This window comes from Homo sapiens, chromosome 5, assembly GCF_000001405.40.
Source record: "Homo sapiens chromosome 5, GRCh38.p14 Primary Assembly".
Taxonomy (NCBI): Eukaryota; Metazoa; Chordata; class Mammalia; order Primates; family Hominidae; genus Homo; species Homo sapiens.
Window position 1 is genome coordinate 175970237 of NC_000005.10, and position 24805 is coordinate 175995041.

General features: G+C 40.8%; 1 long non-coding RNA gene across 1 annotated transcript; it reads left to right on the plus strand.

Moving 5' to 3' along the window:
* Positions 1 to 1883: 1883 nt before the first annotated feature.
* THOC3-AS1 (THOC3 antisense RNA 1) lies at positions 1884 to 9172 on the plus strand. The gene is made up of 2 exons (NR_183278.1): positions 1884 to 2716; positions 8931 to 9172. It is a non-coding gene; the product is annotated as a THOC3 antisense RNA 1 (long non-coding RNA).
* The last annotated feature ends 15633 nt before the right edge of the window (positions 9173 to 24805 follow it).

A 24805-nucleotide genomic window follows, 5' to 3' on the forward strand; every position in this document is an offset into this window, starting at 1 on the left:
ACTATTTGGTGTCTAGTTTTCTTCCTTACCCCTCTTTTTCAGGAATCTTCATATATATATATATATTTAGATATTTTTCCTACATTTTCCCTGTATTTTGTATTTTTTTTTTTTTTTTTTTTTTTTTTTTGCTGCATACACTGAGGATTTACAAGTCCCTGCCAAGATACAAAAACTGAAGTAGAAAGAGGTAAAATGTCCTGGTCCAGGTCACATGACTATCATGTGACAGAGCAAAGGTTAGAACTCAGATGTTACTGACTCTAAAATCTACACTCTGATTCTCAGTATCTGAAATCACGTAAATGTGATTCTTTGTATTTCTGCATTCATTTTGTATTTTTGTATGTAATGTATATTTTTTATTTTTTAATTTTTTTTTGAGATGAAGTTTTGCTCCTATTGCCCAGGCTGGAGTGCAGTGCGATCTTGGCTCACTGCAACTTCCGCCTCCCAGGTTCAACCAAGTCTTCTGCCTCAGTCTCCCGAGTAGCTGGGATTACAAGCACCGCCACCATGCCTGGCTAATTTTTTGTATTTTCGGTTGAGATGGGGTTTCGCTATGCTGGCCAGGCTGGTCTCGAACTCCTGATGTCAGGTGATCCACCCGTCTCTGCCTCCCAAAGTGCTGGGATTACAGGCATGAGCCACCGCGCCCGGCCTGTAATGTATGTTTTTTACTTAATTTCCCCTTGTGTTCCTTTTCTATATTCTGTATACATGGATGTTAGAAACTCAGTTGTGATAAGTATATCCGACTGCTCTTGCCTGAGACAGAAACTGGTATAACATTTCAAGTTGGACTAGCACACATCTGGGGGCAATGTTGAGACTGAAGTCAGAGTCTCTCAAAGGGGAGATAAAATTGAGGGGAACAGAGTCATGGGCCATTTTTTAAAACTTTTTATTTGGAAAAATTCAAATTTACAGAAAAGTTGCAAGAATACTAAAAAGCACTGCTATTCCTGTGACACAGATTCACCAAATTGTAGCATTTTGTTCCACTTTTTTTCTTTTTTTAGTTTTATTTTTATTTATTTATTTTTTTGAGACACAGTCTTACTCTGTCACCCAGGCTGGAGTGCAGTGGCGCGATCTTGGCTCACTGCAACCTCCGCTTCCCAGGTTCAAGCGATTCTCATGTCTCAGCCACCTGAGTAGCTGGGATTACAGGCATGCACCCCCACACCCGCTAATTTTTTGTATGTTTTGTAGAAATGGAGTTTCTCCATGTTGGCCAGGCTGGTCTCAAACTCCTGGCCTCACCCGCCTTGGCCTCCCAAAGTGCTGAGATTACAGGCCTGAGTCACTGTGCCCAGCCTCCATTTGCTTTCTCTACATATATCTACGTTACTACTCTTTTGTCTAAACATTTGGCAATTGTGCATTAGTCCGTTCTCACATTGCTATAGGGAACTACCTGAGACTGGGTAATTTATAAAGAAAAGAGGTTTAATTGGGCCAGGCGCGGTGGCTCACACCTGTAATTCCAGCACTTTGGGAGGTCAAGGCGGGTGGATCACGAGGTCAGGAGTTCAAGACCAGCCTGGCCAAGATGATGAAACCTCGTCTCTACTTAAAATATAATAAAATTAGCCAGGCGTGGTGGCGGGCGCCTGTAGTCCCAGCTACTTGGAAGGCTGAGGCAGGAGAATGGCGTGAACCCGGGAGGCGGAGCTTGCAGTGAGCCTAGATTGCACCACTGCACTCCAGCCTGGGCTACAGAGCAAAAAGCTGTCTCAAAAAAAAAAAAAAAAAAAAAAGAGGTTTAATTGGCTCGTGGTTCCATAGGCTGTACAGGAAGCATGGCTGGGCACGTCTCAGGAAACAGAGAGACAGGGAGGTGCCACATACTTTTAAACAGCCAGATGTCATAAGAACTCAGTCACTGTAACGAGAACAGCAAGGGGGAAATTCGCTCCGATGATCCAGTCACCTCTCACCAGGCCCCTCCTCCAACACTGGGGTTTACAATTGGAAATTTTCTCAGGGACACAAATCCAAGACATATCACATTGTAAGTTGCATACATCTTACCCTTTACCCCTAAATATTTCAGTATTTCCTAAGAAATAGGATGTTCTGTTTCCTACCCCCAGTATAGTTATCGATGTTGGTAAATTGAACAGAAACATGGAATTTTATTTAATCTACTGTCTGTATTTCATTTGTGTCAATTTAGCCAGAAATGTTCTTTATAGCCCTTCTTTTCTTTCAGTACATGTTCCAGTCTAGAACCTCATACTATATTTAGTTATTATATGTCCTTAGTCTCCTTGAATCTATAAAGGTTCCCCAGCATTTCTGTGCCTATTATGACATCAACATTTTTGAAGAATGCAGTTGATGGACCGTTTTTACAGTTCCTTCTCTCACCTAGAAATTCTCTCTTAGGAGCTGATCAAAATCAAACTAAGAAATTTTTTACACATGTGAGTCTTGGGGACTTCAGGGTCATTCAAGGCAGAATCAGGCCATAAATAGTAATGCCAGAGATGACAGGATGTGTAGAGGGACAGGGGAAAAATCTTACAGTGAAAGAAGAGTAGGGGAGTCTTGAAGTATAAGTCCTTTGGGGGTCAGAGGACTTTAGAGAAGCTGATGTTGTAAAAGAAAACAGACTTGTCACCTCTGGCAAAGCCTCAACATATGGGTATGTATCCGTCAGGGTTCAGCCAGAGAAGCAGAACAACTGGAAGATAATTAGAATTATCAGGTAAGTGAAGAAATCAAACTAAAGAAAGGATAGAGTTTCATTTCAGCAGCTTAAAATTTTATATCACAAAGCTGATAATGTTACAACTTAATTATATACCAGACTAATATTCAGAACTAAAGCAGATATATATATGTTCTGCTTTAGTCATATATATGTGATTTTAAAATATAAATATATATTCATATATTTAAATGTTTATATGATAAAATACCTAGATATAAACTTATACAAAATATATTTAAAAATTTTACCAAAAATTACTAATTTTAAGAATTATTTAAGCTGGTGTGGTGGCTCACACCTGTAATCCCAGCACCTTGGAGGCTGAGGCGGGTAGACCACCTGATGTAAGGATTTTGAGACCACCCTGGCCAACATGGTGAAACCCTGTCTCTACTAAAAATACAAAAATTAGCTGGGCATGGTGGTGCGCAACTGTAGTCCCAGCTACTCAGGAGGCTGAGGCAAGAGAATCGAATGAATCCAGGAGATGGAGGTTGCAGTGAGTCGAGATCATACCACTGCACTCCAGGTTGGAGGACAGAACAAGACTCTGTCTTGACAACAACAACAATAAGAGTTATTGAGAGGCCAATAAGAATTTTGGTGAAAAAACTGAAAAGGGAAAAATTAGGAAACCATTTATAGAGGAAATATCCATAGATGTAATTCAAAACAAACAAAAAATATTGCTCTACAGAATTCCTACTGCTCCCTTAAGTGTTTGGATATGCAAAACAGAGGCCTCACCGATTCTCCGTATAAAGATGGGTTTAAGTGATTAGATTGGGTATGGTCATGGGAGAGTTGAGTTGCTCTGTATGAAAATGAAAAGAATAGGCCGGGCATGGTGGTTCATGCCTGTAATCCCAGCATTTTGGGAGGCTGAGGCAGGCAGATCACCTGAGATCAGGAGTTCGAGACCAGCCTGGCCAACATAGTGAAACCCCATCTCTACTAAAAATACAAAAATTAGCCAGGCGTGGTGGTACATGCATATAGTTCCAGCTACTAGGAGGCTGAGGCAGGAGAATTGCTTGAACCCAAAAGGCGGAGGTTGCAGTAAGCCGAGATCGTGCCACTGCACTCCAGCCTGGGTGACAGAGTGAGACTCCATTTCAAAAAATAAAAAATTACATGAAAATGAAAAAAATAATTTAAAATATTTGGGGGAATACCAAGACAGAGCAGCACAAACCAGCAGAGTGGAGCACTGCATAGGTAGAAAGGGGAGATTTTAGGTCCCTTAGGACAGGTGGCTGTTTTTTCAAACGCCTTCTTAAAATCACAAGGCACACAAAGAAACAGGAAAATATGGCCTGATCAAAGTCAACAAAATAAATCTCCAAAAACCAACTCTAAAGAAACACAGGTTTCAGGCTTACTAAACAAAGACTTTAAAACAATGGTCTTTATTAAATATACTCAATGAGACACTGAATTAAAGGAAGCAGGAAAACAATACATGAACAAAATAGGATATCAGCAAAGAGACAAATTATTTTTAAAAAGAACCATACAGACATCCTAGAGTTGAAAAATCAGCTAACTGAATTGGAAAATTAACTAGAGGGGTTCAAAATCAGAATTGAATGGGCAGAAGAATCAGTGAACTTGAAGAAACATCATTTGAAATTATCAAGTCTGAGAAGCAAAAAGAAAAAAACAATGAAGAAAAGTGAACAGAGCCTAGGGAGCATATGGAACAACATCAAGTGGACCAAGTTATAAGCTATTGGAATTCCAGAAAGAAAAGAGAGAGACAGAGAGAAACACAGAGGGAAAAAAATAGACTTTTTTTTCTTTTTAAAATTAAGATGGAGTCTCACTCTGTCATCCAGACTGGAGTGCAGTGGCGTGATCTCGGCTCACTGCAACTTCCACCTCCCAGGTTCAAGCAATTCTCGTGTCTCAGCCTCCCAAGCAGCTGGGACTATGGGTGCGTGCCACCACACCCAGCTAAGTTTTTTTTTGTATTTTTTAGTAGAGAAGGGGTTTTGCCATGTTGGCCAGGTTGGTCTCGAACTCTTGACCTCAGGTGATCCACCTGCCTTGGCCTCCCAAAGTGTGGGATTACAGGCGTGAGCCACCACTCCCAGCCTAAAAATAGACACTAAGTAAAAATAAAACTGTTACAAGAAACAGGAGAATATTATATAATGGTGAAAGGGTCAATTCACCAAGAAGATATAACAATTAAAAACATTTATGCAATAAATATTAGAGCCTAAATATACATAGCAAACATTGACAGAATTGAAGACAGAAATAGACAACTTGAAAAAATAGTAGGAGACTTCAGTACTACCCTTTCAATAACGGATAGAACAACTAGACAGAAGATCAATAAGGAAATACAAGAACTTGAACAACACTATAGACGAAATGGCCCTAACAGACATAAACAACACAATCCACCTAACAATAGAATATACTTTTTTTAAAGTGCATTATGAAACATTCTCCAGGATAGAGGATGTGTTAGGCCACAAAACAAGTCTTAATGAATTTTAAAAGATTAAAATCATACAAAATATTGTTTCCAATCACAATGGAAAGAAACCAATAGCAAAAGTTGTGCTGAAAAATCCACAAATACATGAAAATTAAACAACACATTCCTTAATCCCAGATACTCAGGAGGCTGAAGTGGAAGGATCACTTGAGCCCAGGCATTTGAGGCTGCAGTGAGCTTTGATCATGCCACTGCACTCCAACTTGGATGATGGAGCAAGAGCTCATCTCTAAAGAAAACAAAAGAGAGAACAAAACAATACACTCTCAAATAACAATGGGTCAAAAGAAAAAAATCACAAGGGAAATTAGAAAATATCTTCAGACAAATGAAAATAAAAACAAATGTACCAAAATGTATGGGATGCAGCAAACATAGTACTAAAAAGGAAATTTACAGCTGTAATTGCTTGCATACCAAATAAGAACCCAAATCAACAATGTAACTTTACACCTTAAGGAACTAGAAAAATAACAAATGAAACTGAAACCTCGCAGAGGAAAAGAAATAATGAAGATTTGAGCAAAGATCAACAAAATAGAGAATAGAAAACAACTTTTAAAATTAAAAAACAAGAGTTGGTTCTTCCATAAGATCAGCAAAACTGCCAACTGACTAAGAAAATAAGAGAGAAGTCTCAAATAACTAAAATCAGAAATGAAAGGAGACATTGCTGCTGCTTTTACAGAAATAAAAAGGATCATAAGCTAGTAATGTGAATACCTATATGATGAAAAATTAGATAACTAGATGAAATGAATAAAATCCTAGAAATACACAATCTACCAAGAGTGAATCTGGAGAAACAGAAAACTGGAATAGACTACAATTAATAAGGAGATTGAATCTATAGCCAAAAACCTTTCAACAACAACCAAAAAAAAAAACAAAACCCTAGAACAAGATGGTTTCACTAGTAAATTCTACCAAACATTTATAGAAAAATTAACAGCAATCCTCCTAAACTGTTAAAAAGACTGAAGAGAGGACACCCCCCACTTATTCTATAAGACCAGCATTACCCTAATATAAAAGCCAAACAAATACACTACAAGAAAAGAAAACCACACAGACCAGTATCCCTGGTAAACACTGAAGTGAAAATCCTTAACAAAATACTAGCCAACAGAATTCAACAATGCTTTAAAATTACTACATACCACGACCAAGTGGGATTTATTTCTGGAGTGCAAGGATGATTTAACATACAAAAAACAATGAATGCGGCCAGGTGCAGTGGCTCATGCCTGTAATCCCAACGCTTTGGGAGGCCAAGGTGGGCGGATCACCTGAGGTCAGGAGTTTGAGACCAGCCTGGCCAACATGGTGAAACCCTGTCTCTACTAAAAACACAAAAATTAGCCAGGAGTGATGGCGGGCACCTGTAATCCCAGCTACTCGAGAGGCTGAGGCAGGAGAATCTGAATCCAGGAGATGGAGGTTGCAGTGAATTGAGATCGCGCCAGTGCACTCCAGCCTGAGTCACAGAGTGAGACTCCCATCTCGAAAAAAAAAAATGCATTTCTCCACATAAATAGAATTAAACACAAAACCACATGATCATCTCAATTGATTCAGAAAGAACGTTTGACAAAATTCAACATATTTTCATGATAAAAAGTACTCAGCAAACTAGAAATAAAAGAGAACTACCTCAATATAATAAAAGCCATATATGTAAAGCTTACAGCTAACACGTTAAATGGTTAAAGACCAAAAGGTCTAGGATCACAAACAAGAATAAAGATGCCTGCTTTTGCCACTTCTATTCAACATAGTACTGGAAGTCCTAACTGGAGCAAGCAGGTAAGAAAAAGAAATAAAAAGCATCTAAATTGGAAAAAAAACACATAAAATTATCTCTCTTCTCAGATTACACATTTAATGTAGGAAACCCTGAAGAGTCCACTAAAAAACAAACGAACAAACAAACAAAAACTGTTAGAACAATCACTAATCATTAGGAAAATGCAAATCAGGCCAGGCATGGTGGCTCATACCTACAATCTCAGTACTTTGGGAGGCCAAAGTGAGAGGATGGCTTGAGCCCAGGAGTTCAAGACCAGCCTGGGCAACAGGGTAAAACCCGGTCTCTACCAAAAATACAAAAATTAGCTGGGTGGGGTGGTGCATGCCTGAAGTCCAGCTACTCAGGAGGCTGAGGTAGGAAAAGCACCTGAGCCTGGGAAGTCAAGGCTGCGGTGAGCTATGATTGTGCCACTGCACTCCAGCCTGGGCAATGGGAGAGAGACCCTGTCTCAAAAAAAAAAAAAAAAGCAAAAATTAAAATTGAAATGATAATGAGATGCTACTTCATACCCATTATGATGGCTACTATTTAAAAAATGAGCAGAAAATAAAAAGTGTTGGCAAGGGTGTGTAGAAATTGAAACCATTGTGCACTATTGGTGGGAATGGAAAATGGTGAAGTCACATTGGAAAACAGTATGGCAGTTTCCCAAAAAGTTAAAAATAGAATTACCATATGATAAAGCAATTCTGTTTTGGGGTATAGACCCAAAAAGAATTGAAAAGCAGGGTCTCAAGGAGATCGCCATATACCCATGTTCACAGCAGCATTATTCACAATAGGGAAAAGATGGAAGAAATCCAAGTGTTCAGTGACAGATGAATGGGTAAACAAGATGTGATAAATACATATAATAGAATATTATTCAGCTTTAAAAAGAAATTCTGACACATGCTACAACATGAGTTTGAACTTTGAACACATTTTGCAAAGTGAAATAAACCAGTTACAAAAACAGAAATGCTGTATAATTCCACTTATATGAGATTTCTAGAATAGTCTAATTCATAGAAACAGAAAGTAGAATAGTGGTTGCCAGAGGCTGAGGGAAGGGGAGAATTCCAGGGAGTTACTGTTTAATGGGTATTGAGTTTGAGTTCAGCAAGATAAACAGTGTTCTGGAGACAGATGGTGGTGATGGTTGCAGAACAATGTGAATGTACTTTGTAAACCAAAAATAAAATTCTAACCACCTCCTGCCCCACCATCTGAATGGACTTCTCTTGGCAAGAGCATTCCAAGGCTAACCAGGGGGACTGGTTCTGACCATAATGGGAGGCAGGGAGCAGACATGTCTCATTATGCCCTCTTCCCTTTCAAAATTACTGAATAGAACAGACTGTTGAAGTCTGATGAAAAACATTTACAATCTGTTCTCTCTGAAGCCTGGTACCTGGAAGCTTCATCTGCATGATAAAACTTTGGTCTCCACAACTCCTAATCATCACAACCCAGACGTTCCTTTCTACTGATTCCAGGTCTTTAGATAATAACATAACTCTTTCGACCAATTGCCAAATAGAAATTTTTTTAATCTACCTATAACCTGGAAGCGCCCCCTCCTTCAAGTTGTCTGGCCTTTCCAGACTGAACCAATGTACATTTTACATGTACTTTATTGATATCTCATGTCTCCCTAAAATGTATAAAACTAGGCCATGCCCCAACCACCTTGGGCACATTATTAATAGAGACAGGAGGCAGAGAAATCATAGTCAGATAGGGTGGGTCCCTGGTGAAACCCCACCTTCCAGCCCAAAACAGCCTGAAACTCACAGAGCAGAGTGAGACCTTCTATTCCTGTTTGCCTGCTCTCTCCCAATTGGATCTTTCTGAATAATGCCTTTTAACCAAACAAATGTTGCTTTTTCCTGTACTACCTACAGCCTGTGCCACCCCCATCATGTGTCTCTAAAGACCCCAGACTCAGTCAGTAGAGGGGAGATGGCCTGACTTTGGGGAGGAGACAGCCTGACTTCAGGGAAGAAATGGCCTGACTTCGGGACAAAGACCTCCTGACTTCAGGGGAAGACAACGAGCGGCCCTTCCCATCCCCTCTCCAACTCCCCTCTCCGCTGAGAGCTGTTTTCATCACTCAATAAAATTCTCTGCCCCCACCGTCCTTCAATCGGCAAGTGTGACCTCATTCTTCTTGGACGCTGGATAAGAGCTCAGGCCCCACCAAGTGTGGGTACCCAGAAGGGTTGTCACACTGGCCCTTTGCCCTCGCTGGCAGAGTGCAGCCACCCCACGCAACAGGGCCAGGGGCCGACTGAGCCGCTAACAATCTGTGGTCCATCAGGCTGTGGGCAGCAGAACTAAAAGAGCTAATTAGCACATGAACACAGCCTCTGGGGCTTCAGGGTCACAGGCACCCTTGTCTGGGTGCCACGGCATTCCCCTCAAGGCAACATGCCTGGTCTGGCCATGGGTGCTGCGTAGAGCTTGCTCCCGTATCAGCACCCAGAGCAGCCAGCCGGATCCCACACTCACTCACCCACTCACGTACTCCCTCCCACAAGAGGGCTGAGTGCGGCAGGCCAAGTAGATGGGGCACCCCTGCCGTGAGTCCAGCAAAGGGGCGGAGAAAAATCCTGCATCATTGTCGGAACTTGCTGAGGCTGTTTAACCTTGGCAAAATAAACTTTCCACGTTGATTGAGATCTGTCTCAAATACTTTGGATTCACAACTTAACACCACTTAACTGTACACTTAAAAATGGTTAAGATGGTAAAACTTATGTTGTGTGTATTTTATGACAATTTTAAAACTAAGAAAAAAAATACATACTAAATTGTTAACAGTGGTTACCACTGAAGAAAAAGACAAGGGGAGAAGGAAACACTTTCGGTTTTCACAATTCTAAATTGTTGGAACTGTTTTTATAATTAATAAACCTTGTATTAGGGAAACAATTTTAAACATAGAAAAATTTCATGTACAAAATTATTCCCTACAGTATTAGTTAACAGTGATAAATTAGAAGCAACCTAAAAGTCCTCCTATTGCAAAGTAATGGTTATGTAAACCATAGCATGTCCACTTAATTAAATGTCATATAGCCATCAAAATCCTCAAAACAGTAAAGGGAGGTTCATATGACAGGATATATAAATGTTACTTTGCAGCTCGGTTTTTAAAAAGGATAGAAAACCAGCTAAATGGAAAGACACCAAAATGTAAAACATAATTGTGATTGGATAATGGCTGTTTATTTCCTTCTTCCTTTCTGTATTTTCCAATTTTAAAAATACAGACAGGTATTACTTTATTATAAACTGTATTTTAAAAAATGTTAGAAGATAGAAACAAATTGAACAAAACTGCAGGATACAAAATCAAAACACAAAAATCAGTTGGGTTTCTAAACACCAACAATGCACAATTTGAAAAGGAAATTAAGAAAACAATTCCATTTGCATAGCATCAGGAAGATGCAAACACTTAGGAATAAGGTAAACCAAGGAAGCAAAAGACACACTGAAAACTACAAAATGTATTTTAAAGAAATTAAAGAAGACACCAATAAACGGGAAGACATCCTGTGTTCATGGATTGGATAACTTAATATTGTTAAGGTGTCAATACCACCGAAAGTGATACACAAATTCAATGAAATCCCTGTCCCAACCTCAATGACTATTTTTATAGATTTTTTTTAGATACTAAAATTCATAGGCAATCCCAAGGGACCCCAAATAGCCAAAACAATCTTGTAAAAATAACAACGTGGGAGATCCCATATTTCCTGATTTCAAAACTTACTGTACAGTAACCAAAACAGTGTCATGCAAGCATAAAGACAGACATGTAGAACAATGAAATAGAATAGAGAGCCAAAAATAAACCATTGCTTATACAGTCTAATGATTTTTGACAAAAGTGTCAAGACCATTCAAAGGGGAATGGGCAGTCTTTTCAACAATGGTGTTGGAAAAGCTGGATATCCACATGAAAAATAATGAAGTTGGACTCTTATCTTATACCATAAACAAAAATTAACTAAGAATAAATCAAAGACCTAAATATAAATCTTGGAAGAAACTTAAACTCTTAGAAGAAAACATAGGAGGAATACTTCATGACATTGGATTTGGCAACGATTTCTTATACATGACACCAACAACACAGGTAGCAAAAGAAAAAGATAGACTACATCAAAATTTAAAACTTCTGGGTATCAAAGAACAAAATCAACAGAGTGAAATAGGAACACATAAAACAGAAGAAAATATTTGCAAATCATATATCTGATAAAGGATTAATAGCCAGAATATATATAGAAATCCTACAACTCACCAATGACAACAACAACAAAAAAATCAGATTTAAAAAATAGGCCAAGGCCAGGCGTGGTGGCTCACACCTGTAATCCCAGCACTTTGGGAGGCCAAGGGAGTGGATCACCTGAGGTCAGGAGTTCAAGACAAGCCTGGCCAACATGGGGAAACCCGTCTCTAAATAAATAAACAAATAAACAATCAGCCAGGTGTGGTGGCGGGCACCTGTAATCCCAGCTACTCAGGAGGCTGAGGCAGGAGAATCACTTGAACCCAGGAGGTAGAGGTTGCAGTGAGCCAAGATGGCGCCATTTTACTCCAGCTGGGCAACAGAGTGGGACTCCATCTCAAAAAAAAAAAAAAAAAAAATAGGCCAGGCATGGTGGCTCACGCCTGTAATCCCGGCACTTTCGGAGGCTGAGGCGGGTGGATCACCTGAGATCAGGAGTTCAAGACCAGCCTGGCCAATGTGGTAAAACCCCATCTCTACTAAAAATTAAAAAAAAAAAAAAATTAGCCAGCCGTGGTGGCAGACGCCTGTAATTCCAGCTACTTGGGAGGCTGAGGCAGGAGAAATGCTTGAACCGAGGAGGCAGAGGTTGCAGTGAGCCAAGATCGTGCCATTGCACTCCAACTTGGGCAACAAGCAAAACTCCATCTCAAAATAAAAAAAAATAAAAAAATAGAACTTGGACATTCCTCCAAAAAGATATACAGATGCCCAGTAAACACATGAAAAGATGCTCAACATTACCAGTGATTATGAGAAAGCAAATCAAAACCATAATGAGGTACCACCTTACACCCATTAGGATAGCTATTATCAAAAAAGAAAAACAAAAGAAAAAAGCAAATGTTGGCAAGGATGTGGAGAAATTGGAGCCCTTGTGCCCCGTTGGTGGGAATGTGAAATGGGGCATTTGCTATGGCAAACAGCATGGCAGTCTCTCAAAAAATTCAAAATAGAATTATCATATGATCTACCAATTTCTTTCTTCTTCTTTTTGAGACAGTCTTGTTCTGTCACCCAGGCTGGACTGCAGAGGCGCCATCTTGGCTCACTGCAGCCTCCGCCTCCCGGGCTCAAGCAATTCTCCTGCCTCAGCCTCCTGAGTAACTGAGATTACCGGCGCCCACCACCACACTCAGCTAATTTTTGTATTTTTTAGTAGAGACGGGGTTTCATCATGTCGGCCAGGCTGGTCTTGAACTCCTAACCTCAAGTGATCCACCTGCCTCAGCCTCCCAAAGTGCTGGGATTACAGGCGTGAGCCACCATGCCCAGCCATTGATCTAGCAATTTCACTTAAGGAGATATACCCAAAAGAATTAAAAGCAGGGTCTCAAAAAGGTATTCATACACCCAAGTCCATAGCCAAAAGGTGGAAGCAACCCAAGAGTTCAAGAGATGAACAGATAAACCAAATGTGGCATAGACCTACAATGGAATATTCTTCAGCCTTAAGAAAATTCTGACACATGCTACAACATGAACCTCAAGGCTGTCACGCTAAGTGAACCTTGAAGACATTATGTTAAGTGAAATAAGGCAGTACCAAAAGGATGAATACTATATAGTTCTTCAAATTCATAGAGTCAGAAAGTAAAATGGTAGTTGCCAGGGCCTGCAGGTAAGGAGGAATAGATGAGTTATTGTTTAATGGGTACAAAGTTTTATTTTTTGCAAAATGAAAAGTTTGAGAGAGAATAGTGGCCATGGTTTCTCAACAGTGAGAATGTACTTAATGCCACTAAACTGTACACATAATAAAACAGCTAAAATGGTAAATAAGGAAAAATCAACTGTTTTTCCTCTTAATGCTTCATTTCTGTCAGCAGATATATAGGGGTGGGGGTTCCCCCCAACAATCAATTCTCCAACACGAACCAATTCTCTGATACCTACTATTCAATTTAATTCTGACACTAAAGAGTTAGCACAAACCCCAAGGGTTAAGGACACAGTCCCACAAGACTGCTCCACTTCAGATGCCAATCACAAGTCCCACATTGTCACCTGTACTTCTGACCAGCTGGCTATAAAATCTGGGCTTCCACAGTCCCATCCTCAGGTTCAATAATTTGCTAAGACAGCTCATAGAATTCAGAAAAACACTTACCCACATTTACGGGCTTATCTTATAATAAACGATGTGTGATAAAGGACACGAATAAATAGCCATATGAAGAGAGACATAGGGCAAGGTCTGGAAGGGTCCCGAGAACAAGAGTCTGTCCCCATGGAGTTGAGGTGCACCACCCTCCCAGCATGTGGATACATTCACCAACCTGGAAGCTCTCTGAACTCTTTTAATTCAGGGATTTTTATAGAGGCTTCGGATACCGAACCAGGCTTACTCTTCCCCCTTGTTCAGTAAGCCAATCACTGAAATGACAAGTTTTGCCATAGAGAAAACACTTTATTTGCAGGGCGGCCCAGCGAGGGGATGGGAGAACAGCTCTGGAATCTACCTCCCTGAATACAGGGCTCGAGGACATTCATGGGATAAAGAAGTGGGGTGGTCTAAGGCATGGGGAAAGGTGACTGGAGGTGGGAAAAATGAGGAAATCGGTGGTCTGCACAAGCATAGCCAGGGTTCTTGGCAGTTTAGAGGACACATATTCAGAAAATGGCAGTGTTAGCATGAGCTGAGGGAGGAATTTTTGGCCCTTTGACATCTCGCACACTTGTGCAGGCCCAGCCGAAGGGTCAGTGGTCTCAACTGGTTCAAACTGGACAAGAGCTTCCCCCTAGCTCCTGAGAAACAACTTTAAGCAGCCATTACCATAGTGACATGTATATTAGAAACGTTATCCGTAAGGAGCTAGTGGGAGTTTACTAAGATATTGTTTGGCTATGTGATTTTTAGCTATATAGGTTTTCAGGTCAACCAGAAGTCAGCGATGAAAAGCAAGGAAGGCAGGTTACATTTGGTGGGCTTAATCAGGCTAGCCCTCTATCTCACTTCATCACATAGGCATGATCCATTATTAACAGTCTCCAGTCCCTCCCTGCTTCCCAGAGAATGGGTGGTGGGGATGAAAATTTCAAGCTTCTAATCATCCCCTAATCTTTCTGGTGACCAACCTCTGTATAGGAGCCCATCAAGAGTCACCTCATTAAAACAAAAGACACCCCTATCACCCAGGAATGTTCAAGGGATTAAGAGCTCTGTCAGAGACTGATGCCAAAGACCAACTGTTACAACAAAAGATTCTCCTAGCACCTCTATTGCTCAGGAAATTACCAGGGTTTAAGGAGCTCTGTGCCAGGAACTGGGGACAAAGTCTAAAATATATATTTCTTATTATAAATCACAGTATCACAGGTGGTAAATTTTTGTTATGTATATTTTGCCACAAAATTTTTAAAACTTTCTTAAAAAAATACTTGCCATGGGGACCTCTCTCCCTTTTTGCCAATCTTAAAGTATCTTTAACAGAGGCCACATTGGTCACTAAAGCTTTCTTGTAAAAGTGGATGTTTTGGGGAGAACCTGAAAGCCGTGGCTGAACTCTATGTCTGCTTTACACAAGGCAAAAACAGAAGCCAGAGTTGAAAACAAAGCAGGATGAGAGTATAATTCCCCAGGAATTAACAAAAATTCCTGGAATAACTCCAGACTTTCAAAGCTATAGAATTAGTAGGATCAAAGCTGACAATTTTTAAGGGCTAAAGCTGAATCGAGCTCTGGTTATACGAATAAGTAGAGAATTGCACTAAAATATATATTATGTGCTGAAAGGTTGGAGTTAGAAAATAGCAAGGCTCAGAGAAGAGTGGAGGGGTGCAGATGGTCCATGATGGGTGGTGAGATCTGCTAGGCTGGAGGGTAAGAGAGGTGCTTTTAGGTGCAGGCTCTTTCTTCTTTGTGTCTCCTCCACGAACCTCAAAAGACCATAGTGACTGTTCCATAGCTATGTGATCCAAGTCAGGAACTCAGCTAATGAACATTCTCAGTGCCCAGGTGCCTGAGGCAGGTGTGTGGTTCAGATGATGGAGAAATCTCTCTTTCTTCTGAGAAACTCTAGTAGCCCATGAGTGAGTTCAAGCTTGACTTTATGGGACATTTTTCTACTTTCCAGCTCATTTGTCATGTGGGGATCCTCTGTGTTGGGAACCGATGCTTGGTATCACAAAAATCAACACTGAGACAAAGTATCTCTCAGCAAGGCTAGTTTACTTTCTGCAGAAAGGGTGCCACTCGCTAGCAGTCTCGCCATGAGAGCACACACGAACAAAGGAGACAGGGTCATTTATAACCTGAAGTGTCCACCCTTCTGCTGTGTCCAGTTTCCACTGGCTGGAACAGGACCTCACATTCTGTACTCTACCCGAATGGCTAGCAACTTAGAACTTCTCAAAAGAGGCAAACGCAGAGGAGAACAAAGGAAGAGAGGAAGTAACTTATGGAATGCTGAGAGAGGCAAAAACACTTCCAAATAAGGAAAAGGAGTAGGCTGTGACCTAATGCTTGCTTGGACTGGTTCAGGCATGCCAGGGCAAATATCTAGGCTAAAATGTAAGAGCTAAGAACAGAGTATATTGATTTCTTTATTACGGCTAACAGAATTTAAGAATATCAGCACAGGTCTCTGAGTAAATTTTGCTTCTAAGAGAGGTTACTATCTATTCTTAATTAGACTGGGAGGAAAGTCCCTTTGAAGAGGAACCTGTATTTATTTAATTTTCTACACTCTGTTTCTCCACTCCCTCCAGAGGAATCTGCTTCTATCAATATTGGGTAGGTGATCCCTAGACTTAGCCTCCAAAATGAACTGATTCTTGTTGTCTGTTCCTCTTCCCACTTTACTAAATCATTTACAGAGATGCCTCAAAGGGGAACACACAAGGTACAGCAGAACATCACCCTTCTAGGGGAACAGGATAGAATGAGGAGGAGTCAGAATGGCAACTAGAGCTTTGCTTCAAAGCCCACAGTCAAATCCAGAGGCTGTATAGAGAGAGGACTCTGTCTCAAAATCTCTGGTCTCTGAGATTCTGGATTGGATAATTAAGAAAGTTCAGGGTACTTGCAGCAGAACAGAATCCCACAATACTTGCTTCTCAGTTACCTTCCCATATGGAGTCTTGGTCTTTGGGCCAAGCCTTTGTGTCAGGGTTAATCTGGAAAGCAATTCTCATCCTGCAAAACTCTCTCAGCAGATTCCAAAAACTCACTCTGAACTTGGAGACCAGAATCCTACCTGCTGGAGCAAATTGCATCTCGAGTTTTGAGAATCAGCACCCTTATTAAGCAGAGAATGACTGAAAGATCATTGAGGATCACATATCAAAGGCACTTTATTTGAAATTTTCAAAGAATCAACAGAAAATATTTTTATCTACTTTAAATGAATGACAGAAAAGAACACAGAGACCCATGAATTCAATGAAAAAGACATATTATTCATGAATAATGAACGACTGCTGTAGCCCAGAGAAATGATGGTAAGAACTGATTCCCAGCCTTTCATTCTTGTCTTTTAGTGTCAACAGAGTAAAGAAAAGTGATGGCCTCACCTGGCCCTACACTGTCTCGTGACATCAAGCTCTCACCAAATGTGACCCACCCCTTGGATCCCTGATTCATTCACCTGGCACCCTCCACTTTTAAAGCATTCTATCCTACCACTGCCAGACTCCACCTTAAGTCCCAATCTGGTGTGATTTCCACATGACTGAACACCATTCCAGAGAGCTCATCTCTAGCTGGCACCCCTGGTTGGCCTCCTCTGTTCTAACATTCCTAAGCATGGACCACTCATACCTGCATGTTTCACATTTCCCTGAGGGCTGGCGTCTCGTACCTCCTCCACCAGGTTTTTGAGCAAGAGCTTCTTTCACTTCAACCCCCTCTGGGGAGAGTCTGTAAGCAGGCCTATGGGAACAAACAGCATCTTTGTCCTCACCCTTTACATCCAAGTACATCTGAAGATATCAGTTATAAAGAGAGTGGATTTCTAAACTTTGGAAATTGGAAATTTCCTTAGTCCAATAATCCTTTAGGGGCACTATGGGTCATCCTGGCTGTATCCCCGTCTCTTCAGATTGCCCACTAACCTAGATCAATGGGCCTACTAAAGCAGCTTTTGTTCTAATAACTGAGTTTTTGGTACATTTCTTATCTCCAAGCACCCACCTTGCAGACCAGTGGAAGTGACTAAGATGCTTCTCTCTCCTGAGTGTGAGACTTTGCCCCAGTTCCCTTTCTCATAATCCAAATCTTACAGGACTGGGATCTGTCTTGTCTCAGTCCTGATTTCTTTTCAAAACCCGGATTCTGTTTCTACTGGCCGGGCACGGTGGCTCACACCTGTAATCCCAGCACTTTGGGAGGCTGAGGCAGGTGGATCACCTGAGGTCAGGAGTTTGAGACCAGCCTGGCCAATACAATGAAACCCCATCTCTACTAAAAATACAAAAATTAGCCAGGCATGGTGGTTTGTTCCTGTAGTCCTGGTTACTTGGGAGGCTGAAGCAAGAGAATCGCATGAACCTGGGGAGGCAGAGGTTTCAGTGAGCCGAGATCTCACCACTGCGCGATCGCCAGCCTTGGCGACAGAGAGAGACTCTGTCTCAAAAACAAAAACAAAACTGGATTCTGTTTCTAAATGACAACTCTTTTTGTCAGTATTATTACTGTTTTTTTTGTTTGTTTGTTTTTTGTTTTTTTTTCACTAAACTGATTTTGCCACTACTGTGAGTTTTTGGACTTTCTAATGTCTTGTTTCTCCGGGCTGCTGGAGATTTGCCTATGGCTGAAAAGTTCTCCTATGAATGTTAATGTTATTTCATGTATCCAATGACCTGCTCTTCTAGTATTGCTTCTGGCAACCGTTTGAAGGAAAAAATGACCAAAAATCATTACCCAAACTTATTAATCTAGGGAGATGGAGGAAACCCAGCATAGAGCCAGGCTTTAGGGAAAATAAAGCCCTGGAATTTCTCCAAAAGAACATACACCACTTCCATCCACATCCCAGGCGCCCTCAGTATCCAGGCACAGGCCTCCATTCAAATGCAAGGTAGTCTGGGAAATGTAATCTTCCTCTGCTGGAAAAGGAAAATGGCACTGTATACTTACTCTACCACACTTACTTATCAGGTCATTCATTGAGAATAATGACGTTGCTTTACAGGTCAAAAAGAATAAGAAACTAGATAAGAAACTAGAAACAGAAGCAGTCATGTCTCAACTTCAGTACTGAACTTAGTCTCATCTTTTTTTGTTGTTGTTCCAAATATTATGAAAATCCCAGGTCGCAAAGAATAGCAGTACTTAAAAGGCTAGCAGTACTTAAAAGCTTGCTTTACAATGTCAGGATCCTCTTTAATCACACAGAGATAGGAGGAGAAACTTTAGTGTCAAGCATCTACCCAGCCTAGTTAGAGGTATAGGAAACTGTGCTAGCCATCTCCAAAATGTTAATATTTAGCATGCAACGTATCTGAAGATTCACACTGCATTAATTATGGTGCTTACTTGAATGTTATTTCAAATATGAAATTCAAGTAAAATGTCTGTGGAGGCCTCTGCTTTGGAGATCCGTGCACCAAGTGACCTTTGAGCTTTACAGTCCATACCCCTAAGTGGACTCCTGTTGTATGTCCCTGGGGAAGATGTTTCCCTAATTAGGCATGAGTTAAAGATGGCTTATCTAATTCATAGGACTTTACCAGACCAAAAAAAAAAAAAAAAAAGATAGATTCTGTACTGAGCCAAAGACATATGTGACTAGGTTGACTGCCTACAATTTTAAAAGCTGCTGTTTCTATAGGTCAAACATAGCTGAGTATCTGTGATTTTTAGTATAATATAAGCTAATATATTAAAACCGATAACCCATAGCCCTTTCCTAGACATGTTTAGGAAGAAAACAGACATGTTTTGTTTTAAAACATTTACAAATTGAGCTACTTCACCTGCAGACAAACAAACTTCTATTCTCTTTTTAAAAAAATAGTTCCTGGAAAAAAATAGGAGAAAATCTTTGTGACCTTGGGTTTGGCAAAGATTTTACAGATATGATACCAAAAGCGTGATCCATAAAATTATGAAAATTTAACAAGCTGGAATTCATCAAAATTAATTACTTCTGCTCATCAAAACATATTGTTAAGAGAATGAATATGTAGACTGAATAAGTTCCAGGGTTCTATACCACTGTAGGATGACTATAGTTAATAATACATAGCTTTGAATAGCTAGAAGTATACTGAATGTTCCCAACACAAAGATATGATAAATGTTTAAGATGAGGGATATGCTAATTACCCTGATCTGATCATTATACATGATATGTATCGAAGCATCACTGTGTACTCTATGAATATATACAATTATTATTTGCCAAATATTATAACAAAAACGAGAATAAAAACATAATCCACAGACTGTTAGAAAATATTTGCAAACCACATATTTAACAGAGAAGATGTGTATAGAACATATAAAGAACTCTCAAAACTCAATAATAAAAGTGTTTAAAAAACCCACCGTAGATCAATATCCCTCATGAACAAAGATGTGAACATCCTTAAGAAAATACTAGCAGGGCCGGGCACGGTGGCTCATGCTTGAAATCCCAGCACTTTCGGAGGCCGAGGTGGGGGCGGATCACCTGAGGTCAGGAGTTCAAGACCAGTCTGGCCAAAATGGTGCAACCCCATCTCTACTAAAAATACAAAAAAAAAAAAAAAAAAAAACTTGGCCCGGCACAGTGGCGCATGCCTGTAATCCCAGCTACTCAGGAGGCTGAGGCAGGAGAATCACTTGAACCCAGGAGGCGGAGGTCGCAGTGAACCGAGATGGTGCCATTGCACTCCTAAGGCCTGGGCAACAAGAGTGAAACTCCATCTCAAAAAACAAAAAGAAAAGAAAAGAAAATACTAGCAAACTAAACCCAGCAATGTGTAAAAATGCAAGATCAAGTAGTTTATCCCTATAAGACTGGTTCAATATTTCAAAATTAATCAGTATAATCCACCATATAACAATCTAAAGAAAAAATATGATCAAATCAAGTGATACAGAAAAATCATTTGACAAAATTCATCATCATATATGGTACAAACTTTTGGCAAACTGTGAATAATTTATCCCCAACTGATAAAGGATACCTATCTAAAAAAAAAAAAAAAAAAAAAAAAGCTGTAGCTAACACTTTTTTTTTTCAAGACAGCATCTCACTCTATCATCCAGGCTGGAGTGCAGTGGCATGATCATGGCTCACTGCAGCCTCAACTTCCTGGGCTCCAGTAATCCTCCCACCTTAGCCCCCTTGAGTAGCTGGGACCACAGGCATGCACCACCACGCCTGGCCAATATTTTTGCATTTTTGATAGAGATGGGGTTTTGCCATGTTGCCCAGACTAGCATTCATTTTTATCTTTTTTTTTTTTTTTCTTTTTTTGAGACAGAGTGTTGCTCTGTTGCCCAGGCTGGAGTGCAGTGGTGTGATCTCTGCATACTGCAACCTCTACCTCCCGGGTTCAAGTGATTCTTGTGGTTCAGCCTCCCAGGTAGCTGGGATTACAGGCAAGTGCCACCATGCCCAGCTAATTTTTGTATTTTTTTTAATAGTAGAAATGGGGTTTCCCCATGTTGGCCAAGCTGGTCTCGAACTCCTGGCCTCAAGTGATCCACCTTCCTTGGCCTCCCAAAGTGCCAAAGTGCTAGGATTACAGGTGTGAGACACCACGCCAAGCCCAGATTAACATTCTTAAATGGTGAAAGACAAATGCTTTTCCCCTGAGACCAGGGAATAAGGTAAAGACATCTACTCCCACCACTACTATAAAACAAATTCCAATCAAAATCCTGGCAGAGTATTTTGTAGCAACAGACCAACCAACTCTAAAATTTGTACAGAGAGGAAAAGAAACTAGGTAGCTAAAATAATTGACATAGAAAGGCAAAGGACCTAGAATACCTAAAAGAATTTTTGAAGAGAGAAACAAACACGTACGAATTATACTACCTGATTTTAAGGCTTACTATAAAGTTACAGTAATCAAGATACTGTGGTATTAGTGAAAGGATAGAAAAATAGATTAATGGAATAGAATATGAAGATCAGAAATAAGTTCATAAAAACATGGCTATTTTTTGACAAAAAGTAAAAAAGCAATTCAGTACATTGCTTTTAATAACTGCTATTGAAACAATTAAACAAAAATGATCTTCAGTATAAATTTCACATCTTATAAAAAATTTAACTCAAAATGGATCATAGATCTAAGTATAAAACAAAATTATAGAATTTCAGAAAAAAATGAGAAAATATTTATGACATACAATTTAGTCATGACACCAAAGAACAAGGCATAAGAAACTGAGCATCATTAAAAGTTTTTTCTCAGCCTGACACACAGCTGAGATTCCTTAAAAATTTATTTATTTATTTATTTATTTATTTATTTATTTATTTATTTAGCGAAAGTCTCACCCTGTCACCCAGGCTGGAGTGCAGTGGCACAATCCCGGCTCACTGCAACCTCTACCTCCTGGGCTCAAGTCCTGGCTCACTGCAACCTCCACTTCCTGGGCTCAAGTGATTCTCCTGCCTCAGCCTCCTGAGTAGCTGGGATTACAGGTGTGCACTACCATGCCCAGCTAATTTTTGTATTTTTAGTAGAGAAGGGATTTCACAATATTGGCCAGGCTGGTCTTGAACTCCTGACCGCAAATGATCCGCCCAGCTAGGCCTCCCGAAGTGCTGGGATTACAGGAGGGAGCCGCTGCACCCAGCCTCATTAAAAATTTAAAAAGACATTGTTAAGTGAATGAAAAGACAAGATACAGACTAGGAGAAAATATATGGAAATTTTGTATCTGGCAAAGAACTTTTATGCAAAATATATCAAGAACTCTTGCAACTCAATAATTTTAAAATGGGTGCAATATTTGAATAGACATTTTACCAAAGAAGATATATAAATGGTTAGTAGGTACATGAAAAGATGCTCAACATCATTAGTTATTATGGAAATGCAAATTTAAAAAGACAATGAGATACCACTTCACACCCACAAGTATGGCTATAATCAAAAAGACAAACAATAACAAGTACTGGTGACTATGTGGAGAAATGGAAACCTCATATCTTGCTGGTGGGAATGGGAAATAGTAGTGAAATAGTATTGAGACGGGAATCTCACTTAGACCACTTAGATCCCACCATGGAGCCACCGAGCTCCCAAAAATGAGTCTCCCTTGATCTCACCCCATCCAATCTGCTGTCAGCTTCCCACCGGCCCAGAGATCTGCTACTGTAGGAAAATCAGAGGCATATGTCCAACTTAAAGCCTTCAGGCAAAACTAGGGGAAGACATTCCAAACTGTGCATCTTCAGCTCAGACCTCTTCCCCTCATTTCATCTATGCAACGGCCTACTCAGCAATCCAGTCTCTTAACATTCCAAACTGAAATCTGAATTCACACACACACACACACACACACACACACACACCTATTACCCCATCAGGTTGATGGCACCACCATCAACCTAGGTACTCAAGCCACAGTCCTGCAAACTGTCATTCTTCAGATGACTTTCCCTCAACCTTCCCATCCTCCAACAATTCCAACAGCAAACTGATAATTCTCCCTCTAAAATATATCAGCAATCATCCACTCCTCTCCATCCCACAGCCTCCATCATCACCATCACCTCTGGCCAGCGTGACTGCAGTAGACTCCTTATTGGTCTCCCTGCTTCCATTCTTGCCCCCTTCAATCCTTCTCTCCAGACACAGCAGCCCCAGTAAGTTTATTAAAACACACATAAGATCACATCACACCCCTTCTTAAAGCCTTTCATTAGCTTCCCATCTCATTTAGAATGAAATGAAAAGCCCACACCTTGGTTTACTAGCCCAAACTTGACAGAGCTGCATACGGCCTCTCTGAGCTCACCCCCTTCCACTCCTCCCACTCCACTCAAGCCACACTGGACTCCTTGCTGCCACTTGCACTCTCACGCTGTGGCATGCTGTGCTTTCCAAACACAGTCATGTCACCTCCCATCCCTTATGTTCTTATATATTTTTTCTTAACAGTCTTGCTCTGTTGCCCAGGCTGGAGTGCAGTGGCACAATCATGGCTCACTACAGCCTCATCCTCTCAGGCTCAAGTAGTCCTCCCACCTCAACCTCCCACATAGCTGGGACCACAGGCGTGCACCACCACACCTGGCTAATTTTTTCATTTTTTGTAGAGATGAGGTCTCTCTATGTTGGCCAGGCTGGTGTCAAACTCCTGGACTCAAGTGATCCTCCCACCTCAGCCTCCCAAAGTTCTGGGATTACTACCATGCCCAGCTCTTATGTTCTTCTTAACAATGTGTCTTGGACATGTTTCCTATTGATGGGTGGGGGTCTCTGTTCCCACCCTATGAATCCTGAGAGACCTTGTGACTACAGTGGCAGTGATCGGAAAAGGTGATGCAGCTTCCACCCTGCTGCCTGGACACTCCTACTGTGGCCCAGAGCAGCTTGTGGATGATCCAGTGGCCTTGAGCAGTCACACTATGAAGAAGCCTTCACTACTCATGCAGACCAACCACACAGCGAGGCCCTGAGCTGACATGAAGAGGCAGACAGGCTCAGCCAGCTCCCCTCTGGCCTGCCCCTCCACTGTTCCAGGTGTAGCCACTGTCTGAATGAAAGCATAAGAGAAATCCACCCAGCCAAGCCCTTCCAAAATGCCTCACAGGGGAATCATAAGACCATACGTTGATTGTGGTTGTTATAAGCCCCTAAATTTCAGTATGATTTGCTACATAGCAATAGATAGCCAGACCATTTACCATGAGTGTGCTTTCTTCAGGATGCAGACCCAGATCTTATATAGGTTTTAATTTTAAAGAATATCCTCTTAACTAGGATCTGGTGGAGGGTGCCCCCGCATACAGGCTTTGGAGTCAGAAAGGCCTCAGCTTAAATTAGTGGCTCTTAACTCTTTGAGAATCACAGACCCCTTTGAGAATCTGTCCAAAGTTTTAGGACTTTTACTCTGAGAAACAGACAAAAGTGCAAATATAAAACATTTTTCAGATTACCTCAAGGAGTGCATGGACACGCTTTGGTACCTTTCTTGAGCTTCCTGGATGTATGTCTTTGGATGAGTCGTCTCATCTCTCTGAGCTGTCCGCACTTCCCCCTCCCTATTTGTAGCAAGCTGGGAAACAGACTCAGGAGGGCTGGGTCCCAGGCTGGCCTCTCCCTCATCCCAGCCTGTGTGACTCTCAGACACTTATTTCCCTTGAGCCTTAGTTGCCTGCTACCCCTCGACCCCCAGGAAAATGGGTTTATTGCTCATTTAATGGAGTAACTCAAATGAGATAGGGAAAGTCCTTAGGAAACTCAAAAGCCCTTAGGAGAAAAAAAAGCCTGCTGCAAGGTGTTTTACTTTTTCCATTTCAGCTACAAAAAGCCTTCTGCAGATTCATGCCTAAGGAGCTCAAGAATAACGTG